Below are 14,539 nucleotides of genomic sequence, written 5' to 3'. Positions count from 1 at the left end.
CCTTGGGATGCTGTTGATCTATGACCTTGCCCCCAACCCTGTGCTCTCTGAAACATGTGCTGTGTCCACTCAGGGTTAAATGGATTAAGGGCAGTGCAAGATGTGCTTTGTTAAACAGATGCTTGAAGGCAGCATGCTCATTAAGAGTCATCACCACTCCCTAATCTCAAGTACCCAGGGACACAAACACTGCGGAAGGCTGCAGGGTCCTCTGCCTAGGAAACCCAGAGACCTTTGTTCACTTGTTTATCTGCTGACCTTCCCTCCACTATTGTCCTATGACCCTGCCAAATCCCCCTCTCCGAGAAACACCCAAGAATGATCAATTAAAAAAAAAAAAAAAAAAGAAACTCACGTGTATGAAGCCAAATTAATAAATTCAAGGGTATAGTAACAGAAGCACCTGGAGAAGCTCAGGCTTAACTGCCAACTATTAACCACAGATCGACTGTTTTCAAAATGTTTCACAGAGCCCTAGATTTGAAAAAAGATGCTTCTGTGGTTCCAGGCAAGATGGCTGACTAGGAACAGCTCCGGTCTGCAGCTCCCAGCGAGACCAACACAGAAGGCAGGTAATTTCTGCATTTCCATTTGAGGTACCCAGTTCATCTCATTGGGACTGGTTAGACAGTGGGTGCAGCCCACATAGGGCGAGCCAAAGAGGGTGGGGTATTGCCTCACCCAGGAAGTGCAAGGGGTTGGGGAACTCACTCCCCTAGCCAAGGGAAGCCATGAGGGACTGTGCCATGAGAGACTGTGCTATCTAGCCCAGATGCTACGCTTTTCCTATGTTTTTTGCAACCCGCAGACCGCGAGATTCCCTCGGGTGCCTACACCAAAAGGGCCCTGGGTTTCAAGCACAAAACTGGGCAGCCGTTTGAGCAGACACTGAGGTAGCTGCAGAAGTTTTTTTTTTTTCGTACCCCAGTCACATCTGGGGTGTGAACCCCAGAAAGACAGAACTGTTCACTCCCTGGGAAAGGAGGCAAAAGCCAGGGAGTCAGGTGTTGTTGCTCAGGGGATCCCACCCCCATGGAGCCCAGCAAGCTAAGATCCACTGGCTGGAAATTCTCGCTGCCAGCACAGCAGTCTGAAGTCTACCTGGGACATTTGAGCTTGGTGGGGGAGGGGCGTCCACCATTACTGAGGCTTGAGCAGGCGGTTTTCCCCACACAGTGTAAACAAAGCCACCAGAAGTTCGGACTGGGTGGAGCCCACTGCAGTGCAGCAAAGCCAATGTAGCCAGACTGCCTCTCTAGATTCCTCCTCTCTGGGCAGGAAATCTCTGAAAGAAAGGCAGCAGCACCAGTCAGGGGCTTACAGATAAAACTCCCATCACCCTGGGACAGAACACCTGGGGGAAGGGGTGGCTGTGGGCACAGCTTCAGCAGACTTAAACGTTTCTGCCTGCTGGCTCTGAAGAGAGCAGCAAATCTCCCACCACAGCACTTGAGCTATGCTAAGGGACAGATTGCCTCCTCAAGTGAGTCCCTGACCCTTGTGCCTCCGGACGAGGAGACATCTCCCAGCAGAGGTTGACAGACACCTCATATAGGAGAGCTCCAGTCAGCATCTGGTGGGTGGCCCTCTGGGACAAAGCTTCCAGAGAAAGGAGGAGGCAGCAATCTTTGCTGTTCTGCAGCCTCTGCTGGTGATACCCAGGCAAACAGTGTTTGGAGTGGACTCCCAGCAAACTCCAGCAGACTTGCAGAAGAGGGAGCTGACTGTTAGAAGGAAAACTAACAAACAGAAAGCAAAAACATCAAAATCAACAAAAAGGACGCCCACGCAAAACCCATCCTAAGGTCCTCACCATCAAAGATCAAAGGTAGATAAATCTACGAAGATGAGGAAAAACCAGTGCAAAAATGCTGAAAATTCCAAAATCCAGAATGCCTCTTCTCCTCCAAAGGATCACAACTCCTTGCCAGCAAGGGAACAAAGCTGGATGGAGAATGACTTTGACAAGTTGACAGAAGTAGGCTTCAGAAGGTGGGTAATAACAAACTTCTCCGAGCTAAAGGAGCATGTCCTAACCCAATGCAAGGAAGCTAAGAACTTTGATAAAAGATTACAGGAATTGCTAACTAGAACAACCAGTTTAGGGAAGAACATAAATGACCTGATGGAGTTGAAAAACACAGCACAAGAACTTAATGAAGCATACACAAGTATCAATAACCATATCAATCAAGCAGAAGAAAGGATAACAGAGATTGCAGATTAACTTAATGAAATAAATTGTAAAGACAAGATTAGAGAAAAAAGAATGCAAAGGAACAAACAAAGCTTCCAAGAAATATGGGACTATGTGAAAAGACCAAACCTACGTTTGATTGGTGTACCTGAAAGTGATAGGGAGAATGGAACCAAGTTGGAAAACACTCTTCAGGATATTATCCAGAAGAACTTCCCCAACATAGCAAGACAGGCCAACACTCAAATTCGGAAAATACAGAGAACACCACAAAGATACTCCTCGAGAAGAGCAACCCCAAGACACATAATCATCAGATTCACCAAGCTTGAAACAAACAAAAAATGTTAAGGGCAGCCAGAGAGAAAGGTCAGGTTACCAACAAAGGGAAGCCCATCAGACTAACAGGAGATCTCTCTGCAGAAACCCTACAAGCCAGAAAAGAGTGGGGGCCAATATTCAAAATTCATAAAAAAAGAATTTTCAACCCTGAATTTCATATTGAGCCAAACTAAGCTTCATAAGCGAAGGAGAAATAAAATCCTTTACAGACAAGCAAGTGCTGAGGGATTTGGTAACCACCAGGCCTGCCTTACAAGAGTTCCTGAAGGAAGCATTAAATATGGAAAGGAAAAACCAGTACCAGCCACTGCAAAAACATACCAAAATACACAGACCAATGTCACTATGAAAAAACTGCATCAACTAATGTGCAAAATAACCAGCTGGAATCATGATGACAGGATCAAATTCACATATAACAATATTAACCTTAAATGTAAGTGGGCTAAGTGCCCCAACTAAAAGACACATATTAACCTTAAATGTAAATTGACTAAATTCCCCAATTAAAAGACACAGACTGGCAAATTGGATAAAGAGTCAAGACCCATTGGTGTGCTGTATTCAGGAGACCCATATCATGTGCAAAGACACACATAGGCTCAAAATAATGGGATGGAGGAATATTTATCAAGCAAATGGAAAGCAAAAAAAAAGCAGGGGTTGCAATCCTAGTCTCTGATAAAACAGACTTTAAAACAACAAAATAAAAAAATCAAGGTAATTACATAATGGTAAGGGGATTAGTGCAACAAGAAGAGCTAACTATTCTAAATATATATATATACACCCAATACAGGAGCACCCAGATTCATAAAGCAAGGTCTTAGAGACCTACAAAGAGACTTACACTCCCACACATTAATAGTGGGAGACTTTAAAACCCCATTGTCAATGTTAGACAGATCAACGAGACAGAAAATTAACAAGGATATTCAGGACTTGAATTCAGCTCTGGATCAAGAGGACCTAATAGACATCTACAGAACTCTCCACCCCAAATCAACAGAATATACATTCTTCTCAGCACCACATAGCACATATTCAAAAACTGACCACATAATTGGAAGTAAAACACTCCTTAGCAAATGTAAAAGAACAGAAATCATAACAGTCTCTCAGACCACAGTGTAATCAAATTAGAACTCAAGATTAAGAAACTCACTCAAAACTGCACAACTACATGGAAATGGAAAAACATGCTCCTGAATCACTACTGGGTGAATAACAAAATTAAGGCAGAAATAAGTTCCTTGAAACCAATGAGAACTAAGATACAACATACCAGAATCTCTGGGGCACAGCTAACGCAGTGATTAGAGGGAAATTTATAGCACTAAATGCCTACAGGAGAAAGCAGAAAAGATCTAAAATTGACACCCTAACATCACAATTAAAAGAACTAGAGCAGCAAGAGCAAACAAATTCACAACCTAGCAGAAGATGAGAAATAACTAAGATCTGAGCAGAACTGAAGGGGATAGAGACACGAAAAACCCTTCAAAAATATCAATGAATCCAGGAGCTGGTTTTTTGAAAAGATCAACAAAATAGATCGCTAGCCAGATTAATAAAGAAGAAAAGAGAGAAGAATCAAATAGACACAATAAAAAATGATAAAAGGGATATTACCACTGATCCCAGAGAAATACAAACTACCATCAGAGAGTACTATAAACACCTCTATGCAAATAAACTAGAAAATCTACAAGAAATGGATAAATTCCTGGACACACACACCCTCCCAAGACTAAACCAGGAAGAAGTCAAATCCCTGAATAGACCAATAACAAGTTCTGAAATTGAGGCAGTAATTAATAGCCTACCAACCATAAAAAGCCCAGGTCCAGATGGATTCACAGCTGAATTCTACCAGAGGTACAAAGAGGAGCTGGTACCATTCCTTCTGAAGCTATTCCAAACAACAGAAAAAGAGGGACTTCTCCCTAACTCATTTTATGAGGCCAGCATCATCCTGATACCAAAACCTGGCAGAGAAACAACATAAAAAGAAAATTTCAGGCCAATATCCCTGATGAAGATCGATGCAAAAATCCTCAATAAAATACTGGCAAACCAAATCCAGCAGCACATCAAATAGCTATCCACCACAATCAAGTCAGCTTCATCCTAAGGATGCGAGGCTGGTTCAACACATGCAAGTCAATAAACGTAATCCATCACATAAACAGAATCAATGACAAGTGAGACCAATGAGATGATCTATTGATTATCACAATAGATGCAGAAAAGGCCTTCAATAAAATTCAACACGGCTTCATGCTAAAAACACTCAATAAACTAGGTATTGAGGGAACATCTCTGAAAATAATAAGAGCTATTTGTGACAAACCCACAGCCAATATCATACTGAATGGGCAAAAGCTGGAAGCATTCCCTTTGAAACCCAGCACAAGACAAGGATGCCCTCTCTCACCACTCCCATTCAACACAGTATTGGAAGTTCTGGCCAGGGCAACCAGGCAAGATAAATAAATAAAGCATACTCAAATACAAAGAGAGGAAGTCAAATTGTCTCTGTTTGCGGATATCATAATTGTATATTTAGAAAACCCTATCATCTCAGCCCCAAAACTCCTTAAGCTGATAAGCAACTTCAGCAAAATCTCAGGATAAAAAATAAATGTGCAAAAATCACAAGCATTACTATAAACCAATAATAGAGAGCTAAATCATGAGTGAACTCCCATTCACAATTGCTACAAATAGAATAAAATACCTAGGAATACAACTTAGAGGGGATGTGAAGGACTTCTTCAAGAAGAACTACAAACCACTTCTCAAGGAAATAAGAGAGTATACAAACAAATGGAAAAACACTCCACACTCATGGATACAAAGAATCAGTATTGTGAAAATGGCCATACTGCCCCAAATAATTTATAGATTTAATGCTATTCCCATCAAGCTACCATTGACTTTCTTCACAGAATTAGAAAAAACTACTTTAAACTTCATATGAAACCAAAAAAGAGCCCATATAGTCAAGACAATCCTAAACAAAAAGAACAAAGCTGGAGGCATCACACTACCTGACTTCAAACTACACTACAAGGCTACAGTAACCAAAACAGCATGGTACTGGTACCAAAACAGATATATAGACCAATGGAATAGAACAGAGGCCTCAAAAATAACACCACACATCTACAACCACCTGATCTTTGACAAACCTGACAAAAACAAGCAAGGGGAAAGGATTCCCTATTTAATAAATGGTATTGGGAAAACTGGCTAGCCATATGCAGAAAACTGAAACTGGACCCCTTCCTTATACCTTATACAAAAATCAACTCAAGAAGGATCAAAGACTTAAATGATTAAACCTAAAGCCATAAAAACCCTAGAAGAAAACCTAGGCAATACCATTCAGGACATAGGCATGGGCAAAAACTTCATGACTAAAACACCAAAAGCAATTGCAACAAAAGTAAAAATAGACAAATTGGATCTAATTAAACTACAGAGCTTCTGCACAGTAAAAGAAACTATCATCAGAGTGAACAGGCAACCTACAGAATGGCAGAAAATTTCTGCAATCTATCCATCTGACAAAGGGCTAATATCAAGAATCTACAAGGAACTTAAATAAATTTACAAGAAAAAACCAAACAACCCTATCAAAAAGTGGGTGAAGGATATCAACAGACACTTCTTAAAAGCAGCCAACAAACATACGAAAAAAAGCTCATCATCACTGGTCATTAGAGAAATGCAAATCAAAACCACAATGAGATACCATCTCACGCCAGTTAGAATGGCAATAATTAAAAAGTCAGAAACAACAGATGCTGGAGAGGATGTGGAGAAATAGGAAAGCTTTCACACTGTTGGTGGGAGTGTAAATTAGTTCAACCATTGTGGAAGACAGTGTGGCAATTCCTCAAGGATCTAGAACTAGAAATACATTTGACCCAGCAATCCCATTAACGGGATATATACCCAAAGGATTATAAATCATTCTACTATAAAAATAACATACACCTGTATGTTTATTACAGCACTATTCACAACAGCAAAGACTTGAAGCCAACTCAAATGCCCATGAGTGATAGACTGAATAAAGAAAATGTGGCACATAGACACCATGGAATACTATGCAACCATAAAAAAGAATGAGTTCATGTCCTTTGCAGGGACATGGATGAAGCTGGAAACCACCATTCTCAGCAAACTAGCACAGGAACAGAAAACCAAACACTGCATGTTCTCACTCATAAGTGGGAGTTGAACAATGAGAACACATGGACATAGGGAGGGGAACATCACACACTGTGGGCTGTTGGGGGTGGGGAGCAAGGGGAGGGGTAGCGTTAGGACAAATACCTAACATAGATGACGGGTTGATGGGTGCAGCAAACCACCATGGCACAAGTCTACCTATGTAACAAACCTGCACTTCTGCACATGTATCCCAGAACTTAAAAGTATAATAAAAAATAAAAAAGAAGAAAAAAAAAGAAGGTAATGTCCCGAATCAACAACCTAAATCGAAATATTAAGAAACTAGACAAAGAACTAACCCCAAAGCTAGCAGAAGAGAGGAATAAGAGAGATTAAATCAGAAATAAACATATTAGAGAATAGAAAAACAATAGAGGAAATCAATGAAACCAAGTTTGTCCTTCAGAATGATCAACAAAATTGATAAACCTTTAGCTGGACTACAAAAAAAGGAGACTAAATAAATACAATCAGAAATGAAAGAGGGGACATTACTGATTTTATAGAAATAAAAAGGATTATAAGAGTAATATGAAGAATTGTATGCCAGCGAATTGATTAACCTAGATGAAATGAAAAAATTCCTGGAAACACACAAACTACTAAGTCTGAATCAGGAATAAATAGAAAATCTGAATAGATCTATAACTAGTAAAAAGTAATTAAAAACCTCCCAAAAAGTGAAAGCCCAAATATTTGGTGGCGTTTGACAGTGATGTCACATAACTTGAAGAACATCTGGAGAACAATTAACAGCAGTCTTCCTCAAACTCTTCCAAAACACTGAAGAGGAAGAAACACTCCCAAGCTCATTCTGTGAGGTCAGCATTACCCTGATATCAAAGCTAGACAAAGACACTACCAGTAAAGAAAACTAAAGACCTGATCCCTGATGAATACTGACAAAAAAATTCTGAATGAAATAACAGCAAACAGAATTCAACAACCCATTAGAAGGATTATACATCACAACCAGATGGAATTTATTCCAGGAATGCAAGGAAGTTCAATGTAAAAATCAGCCAATGTAATATACCTGTATTAGTCTGTTTTTATGCTGCTGACAAAGACATACCCGAGACTGGGAAGAAAAAAGAGGTTTAATTGGACTTACAGTTCCACATAGCTGGGGAGGCCTCAGAATCATGGCAGGAGGTGAAAGACACTTCTTATATGGTGGCGTCAAGAGAAAATGAGGAAGAAGCAAAAGTGGAAACTCTTGAAAACTCCATCAGATCTCTTGAGACTTACTCATTATCACAAGAATTGCACAGGAAAGATCGGCCCCCATGATTCAATTACCTCCCCCTGGGTCCCTCCCACAACATGTGGGAATTCTGGGAGATACAATTCAAGTTGAGATTTGGGTGGGGACACAGCCAAACCATATCAATACCACATAAACAAAATGAAGGGAAAAACAACCCATGATCATCTCCATTGATGCAGAAAAAGCATTTGACAAAATTTATCACCTTTTTATGATAAAAACACTCAACAAACTAGGAATAAAAATTAACTGCTTCGACATATTAAAGGCCATATATGAAAAGTCCACAGCTAACATCATATTCAATGGTGAAAGGCTGAAAGCTCTCTTATTAAGATTAGGAACAAGACAAGGGTGCTCTTTATCACTTCTGTTCGACATAGTACTAAAAGTCCTAGCCAGTGCAACTAGGCAAGATGACGAAATAAAGGCATCCAAATTAGAAAGGAAGAAGCAAAAGTATCCTCTGATCACAGACAACACAATCTTTAGGTAGGAAAAAAACCCTAAATATTTCACACACATACACAAAATAAGAATAAAATTCAGCAAAATTGCAGGATAGAAAATCAACATATAAAAATCAGGTGTATTTCTATGCATTAACAATGAGCTATCTGGAAAGAATTATAAAAAAATAATTTCACTTATAATTGCATCAAAAGTGTAAAATACTTAGAAATAAACTTAACTAAGGAGATGAAAAACCTACACTGAAAACTACAAAACATTGTTGAAAGAATTTAAATAAGATACAAATAGAAAGACATGCCATGTTTGTGGATTTGAAAGTTTATAATGTTAAGATGTCAATCCTACCCAAAATAATCTACAGATGCAATGCAATCCCTCTGAAAATCCCAATGATATTTTTTGTACAAATAGAAAAATCTATCCTGAAATTCATTTGGAATTCCAAGACACCCGAAATGGCCAAAATAATCTTGAAAAATAAAAACAAAGTTGGAGGTCTCACACCTCCTGATTTTCAAACCTACTACAAAGCTACAGTAACCAAAACAGTATGGTACAGTGTGGTGTAAAGACAGATGTATAGGCTGGTGAAAGAAAATGGAAAGCCCAGAAGTCAACCACACATATATGATCACATGACTTTTGACAAAGGTTCCAAGACCATTCAATGGAGAAAGGGTAATCTCTTCAACAAATGGTGTTGAGAAAACTGGATATCCACATATAAAAGAATGAAGTAAGACCATTACTTAACATCACACACAAAAATTAACTCAAAATGCATCAAAGACCTAAATATAAAACCTAAAGCTATAAAACTCTTAAAAGAAAACATAATGCAAAAGCTTCACAACAGTGGATTTGGCAATGATTTATTGGATGTGGCACTAAAAGCATAGGCAATAAAAGAAAAAATTGATAAACTAGACTACCTCAAAACCGAAAACTTCTATGGATCAAAGGACATAATCAACAGAGTAAAAAGGCAACCCACACATTGGGAGAAAATATTTGCAAATTATATCTTTTTTAAAGGGTTAATATCCAAAATATATAAAGAACTCCTACAAATCAACAAAAAAACAAACAACCTGATTTAAAAAAAAGGATCAAGGGACTTGAATTGGCATTTCTCCAAAGAAGATATACAAATGGGCAGCAGTCACACGAAAAGATGTTCAATGTCACTAATCATTAGGGATATTCAAATAAAAACCACAATGAGATACCACCTCATACCCATTAGGATGGCTACTATAACAAAAAACAAAACAAAATAATAAGTGTTGGCAAGGTAGTGGAGAAACTGGAATCCTTCTACACTCCTGGTGCAAATGTAAAATGGTGCAGCCACTATGGAAAACAATATGGTAGTTCCTCAAAAAATTAAAATATAATTACCACATGATCCAATAATTCCACTTCTGGATATATACTCAAAAGAACTGAAAGGAAGGTTTCGAACAGACAGTTGCATGCACGTGTTCATAGACAGTGCATTATTCACAATAGTTAAACATGGAAGTGACCCAAATTGTCCACTGGTGGATAAAGGATATGCAAAATGTGATATATACATACAGTGGAATATTATTCAGCCTTAAAAAGGAAGGACATTCTGACATATGCTGTAACATGGATGAAGCTTGAGGACATTATACACTATGCTAAGTGAAATAAGCTGGTCACAAAATACCATACGATTCCACTTATATGAGGTACTTGGAGTAGCCAAAATCATAGACATAAAGTAGAGTGATGGTTGACAAGGGCTAGGGAGAGAGAGTAGAGAGTTCTTATTTAATGGGTGGAGAGTTTCAGTTTTGCAAGATGAAAAGAGTTGTGGAAACGGATGGTGGTGATGGCTGTACAACAATGTGAATGTACTTAATGTTGCTGAAACACACATTTTAAAATGGTTAAGATAGTAAATTTTATATTTATCACAATTTTTAAAAATTAAAATCAAAAGGCCATTTTTTAAAGACACATGCTAAGAACAAGAAAAAACCACAAAAGTAAAAATAACATCTTAGCCCCATGAAATAAATTTGGGGGACATTTTATTAGGATAATTAGAAATAATGCAAATTCCTTTCCTCTACAAAATCTAATTGTATTCTAACTTAAATGTTTTCAATTGCTTACATGCATTTTTATTCATTAGCTACTTTGATAAATACTTTATAACAGTCTTTGTTAATACAATCGGAAAAAAATGAAAAATATTCATTTTTAAAAATAAAATTTTGGGAGACTAATATACATACTTTTTCCTGATTTCAGAATTCCTTGAATGCCCAGATTTGCACATACATGAATGTGTATTAAAATTACTTAGTTAAAATATCTGGTTTCTAAATATTCTACATATTCCGCTATAATATTTTTAACTTCTAATTTGATTCTTGTGTTAATAAAAACATTATCTGTCAGTGGAACATCAGGCATGAGAAATATAGCTAGCAAGGCTGATATATATGAAAATGTGTGAATTGATGAAAATAGCTCTAATGATTATGTAAGAATACTATTTCTAATGATTAGAGTATGATAAAAGGGGATACTAAACTCTCAAAGAATGTATTACTTTTAGAAAGTCCATACATCAAGGCTTGATGTTATTTTCAGACCACAAAAGTATTATAATAGTCACTCAGAAATCTGAGATTAGCCCATCTTTAAGCAGTAAATCTGAAAAAAGCTTGAAACAAAATCATCTTTGACTTCCATACTCCAATAACATCAGTAAACTAACTTTCAAAACTACAGCAATTAAATTTACACTGCAATGTAGGAATCTTCTTCAGAAAATGCAGTGAAGCTTTGTGAGGAAAGGGGAGTTATGAGAAATGAATTCTACAGGCTATGAAAGTGACTGGTGGGAAAACTATTTGAGGTGCCCTTCTAAGAGAGGGTAAAGTCTGAGGTGACCTTATTTTAGGAATTTCAATAGGTGAAGATCTGTCTTCATCTTGAAACAAGACAGCAAAGTCTTCATCTTCAAACAGGCCTGAAGTTAATTCGCTTTGAGGTGGGATAAAGCAACCAGAATTTTTATAAGATGAAGAAAATCCAGCTTTATGGAGGAATGGGAAAGTTCCACTTTGAGAGGGATGCTGTGGAATCATGATTGGAGAATGATCTGTGCTGTAACTTTCAGGACGAGGATGAAGGAAATCTTTTAAATCTTTACATAATTGGCCCCTTTGTTGAATATCATTGGCAATTCCATTTTGTTGATCGGGAGAGGAAATATCACTTGCAAGAGAAAAGAAGGATGATGTGCTTTGTTGATAGGAGGCTGTATCAATAGTGTTCCCAAAGGCTGGAGAAGTAGTGTTTGTTTCAAAATTCTTAAAATTTTTAGTGTTATATTCAGGAGCAGAGATGGTTATATGTTTTTTAGCATCAGTATTACTTGAAGTTTTAGAAAAGATTTCGATTTCATTTAGATTAAACACATTCTGGCCACTTGCTTGAGGATCAAAAAAAATGGCACTCTTGTAATAGGAAACTATACTTAGTTTACGGGATGAGAAACGTCTTCTGCGGGAAATAAAGCTACCACAATGGTCTGAGGAAGATTTTATATCAGTGAAGCCTGTGTCTTCTTCAGAATCAAAGTTAGCTCTACTTTGTTGCCAGTAAGGGGAAGCATTTCTTTTTTGAAATCCAACAAATAAAGAATATCTTCTTTCAGAGAAAGATGGACTTGATACAGATAATAACCTTCTACTTGCTTTGGCTGCATTGACTTTATGTGTTACAGGGGAATAAGATGTTTTATGACCAAGAGATATACTTGGTTGTGAAATAGAAGAGGCTCCACGATGCTGGGCGTCTGTACTAACTTGATCTTCTGGAGAACATCGTTGGAAGCTCTGGTCCTCTTTGCAGCAGCTAAGAGTGAGAAAAGGGTCAAATGAGGAAAAAAAATAGGGAGCAGAGTGGAGACCTGCCAAGCCTCCTGAAGAATAATATCCACCTTTTGGTGTCCACCAATTGGTATTGTTTCCATACTAATATGAAAACAGCAGGGAATAAGAAGAATAGGGGAGCTTAAGTTAATGGTCACACAGATGTACCCAAAAGAATGCGGGAGTCTAAGAGGTTATCTCTACCTACACAGTACCTACCCACTCTATTAAACCTTGGGAAGAGAAGTTGAAAAAATCAGGGAAGCAGGTAGAAAGAAAGATCAGGGGAAACATATGCAAGGATACCAGAACAAAAAGATTCCCAAAGGAAAAGATAGAACTGGTTTTAAAGGTAATAAACCACAATATCTGTTGGAGATTACTAACTACTGTATTTAAATGAGTTAAGGAGAATAAACTTATATTCTGTTGACTAATTGTATTTTAAAATATTAACCATGGATGAAGCACAATCTCTCTGGGGAGAATGTTTCAAGTGAATATCTGGACAGTCCAGGATATCCAGTTATTATGGGAAACAAAGGAGAGCACTAAAGCTTCGTTTATGAATATTTTCAATGTTCTTTTAGCACATGTTGAAGTTTTTTTCTAAGGCTTACCTTAAGCACTTTCCCATTGTAAATTTAATCCAAAGTAAGTCTCTCCCTTCCCTTCTAGGCCGTCATCCTTAAGCCATAAAATGCCCTGTAGAGGTGGAACAGGTCAGAAGACTGAATGCTCAAGCTGCATGTGGAGTTAACATGGCAATAACACAGAATGTGATGACAGCAGACTCTAGAATCTCATGACATCAGTTTATATTAGAACTGTTCTGTAGCTCACCTTTCTCCGAAGTTGGAATTCACATGGCTGTGGAATGTGTTTCTACCTTCACTGTTGGAGGAGTCATCCAACAAATCCAGGGGTGGGAAAACAGCTGGATAAGGACAATAACATATATGACAGCTGTACAATCCTTTACCTTGGACCATCTCTCTCACCTTGGACCATCTCTCTCACCAGCTGCCTTCCACACCCCTGTACTACTAACTCCTTCTTCTTTCACTTGAACATTCTTTACCCCAGATTTTTGCATCCTTCAGTGATACGGAAAAGCAAATGTTAGAGACTTTGGCCTAAAGATACATTGAGAAGGGAAAAAAAGTTTAATAAGTAGCAAATGTCATTGCCACCACAAAGGAAACAAGCATCGTTCACCTTGGCAGTAAAGTATGCCATCTGACTGCTTGGGCCATTTGCACAGATTACGGGGATATGCTGTGGCACTATTTATCACTCCTCAGAACAACTGATACTCACCTAAATGCAAGGTTAATAGAGTTATTAGAAAAGAAACACTGTCCTTTCTTATCTAAACCAATTTGGGCTATTGTCCCCATAACAGGTATACGTGTATGTGTATACTTACCTATGACATGAAACACCCCCTCAAATACTTTTATTTACTGTGCAATTTCCTGATCCTAAATACTACTACCGCCTCTAGCCTTTGCTCCCTTCCTAACACCCTACTGCAGGAAACCCTTGAACAAATTCCTTTTAAGAGACCCAAAGCTCTCTAACGTTCACCATACAATGGTCGGATTTGTAATTTGATTTTAGTTTACATACAAACTAATAAAGTAATCTCTTACTGTATCATGGATGCTGGCAGAAGACATGAGATTCGTGGGTTAGAGACAGAAGACTTATGTTACTTACAGCATAGCAAAGCAGCATAATCACCAGGACATTTACATCAGTTCTCCTTTGTCCCACATTGCCACAGGGGCAATGCAGAGGGCCCAAGGACACTTGCCTTCACAGTGGATTGTGTTACAGGAAAGAACGCTGAGCTTAGATGATCTACCACTTCTATAGCAAGTAGTAAGCAAATCTGCTAAACCTGCTCTTGGTCCTGAAGGGAAACAGTAACTCATTCTTCAAGGTTGCTCACCAGAACCCTGAAAAATGGCCCACATAAAGAATGATCAGGGCCTTACATGTATGGCTCATGTAGCAAGATGTCTGGGAGCACAAGAAGCCCAAGGAGGACTGTCTGTCTCTGTAGCAATCTATTACATTTTCCCT

At 38.3% G+C, this 14,539-nt stretch overlaps 1 protein-coding gene and 1 long non-coding RNA gene across 19 annotated transcripts in view; one reads left to right on the top strand and one right to left on the bottom strand.

Annotated features, from left to right (window-relative positions):
* RMDN2-AS1 (RMDN2 antisense RNA 1) overlaps positions 1 to 13,330 on the top strand; it is an 86,008-nt gene extending 72,678 nt beyond the window's left edge. The window contains exons 3-4 of the long non-coding RNA NR_102712.1: positions 509 to 572; positions 13,127 to 13,330. This is a non-coding gene — a long non-coding RNA (RMDN2 antisense RNA 1). The remainder of the gene's footprint in view (positions 1 to 508; positions 573 to 13,126) is intronic.
* The window catches only part of RMDN2 (regulator of microtubule dynamics 2), a 146,238-nt gene that overhangs the window by 103,475 nt on the left and 28,224 nt on the right, over positions 1 to 14,539 (bottom strand). For 4 of the 18 annotated variants that reach the window (XR_939668.4, XM_011532615.4, XM_011532614.4 and 1 more), the window contains exons 1-3: positions 13,292 to 13,385; positions 13,069 to 13,153; positions 11,463 to 12,431 (exon numbers count right to left, since the gene is read on the bottom strand). The exons of 10 other annotated variants lie outside the window; for them this stretch is intronic. Coding sequence is in view for 7 of the 8 variants with exons in the window: in XM_011532615.4 (XP_011530917.2) it covers positions 11,463 to 12,431; positions 13,069 to 13,085 (986 nt within the window). In the remaining variant the exon portion in view is untranslated. Of the gene's footprint in view, positions 1 to 11,462; positions 12,432 to 13,068; positions 13,201 to 13,291; positions 13,386 to 14,539 lie in introns of those variants that run through there. 4 more of the 18 variants (XM_047443521.1, NM_001170793.3, XM_047443520.1 and 1 more) reach the window with 3 other exon arrangements.

The sequence above is a fragment of the Homo sapiens genome, chromosome 2 (assembly GCF_000001405.40).
Source record: "Homo sapiens chromosome 2, GRCh38.p14 Primary Assembly".
NCBI classification, from domain to species: domain Eukaryota; kingdom Metazoa; phylum Chordata; class Mammalia; order Primates; family Hominidae; genus Homo; species Homo sapiens.
Note: the sequence above shows the minus strand (reverse complement) of the source record. Positions and strands in the feature narration are given on the sequence as shown.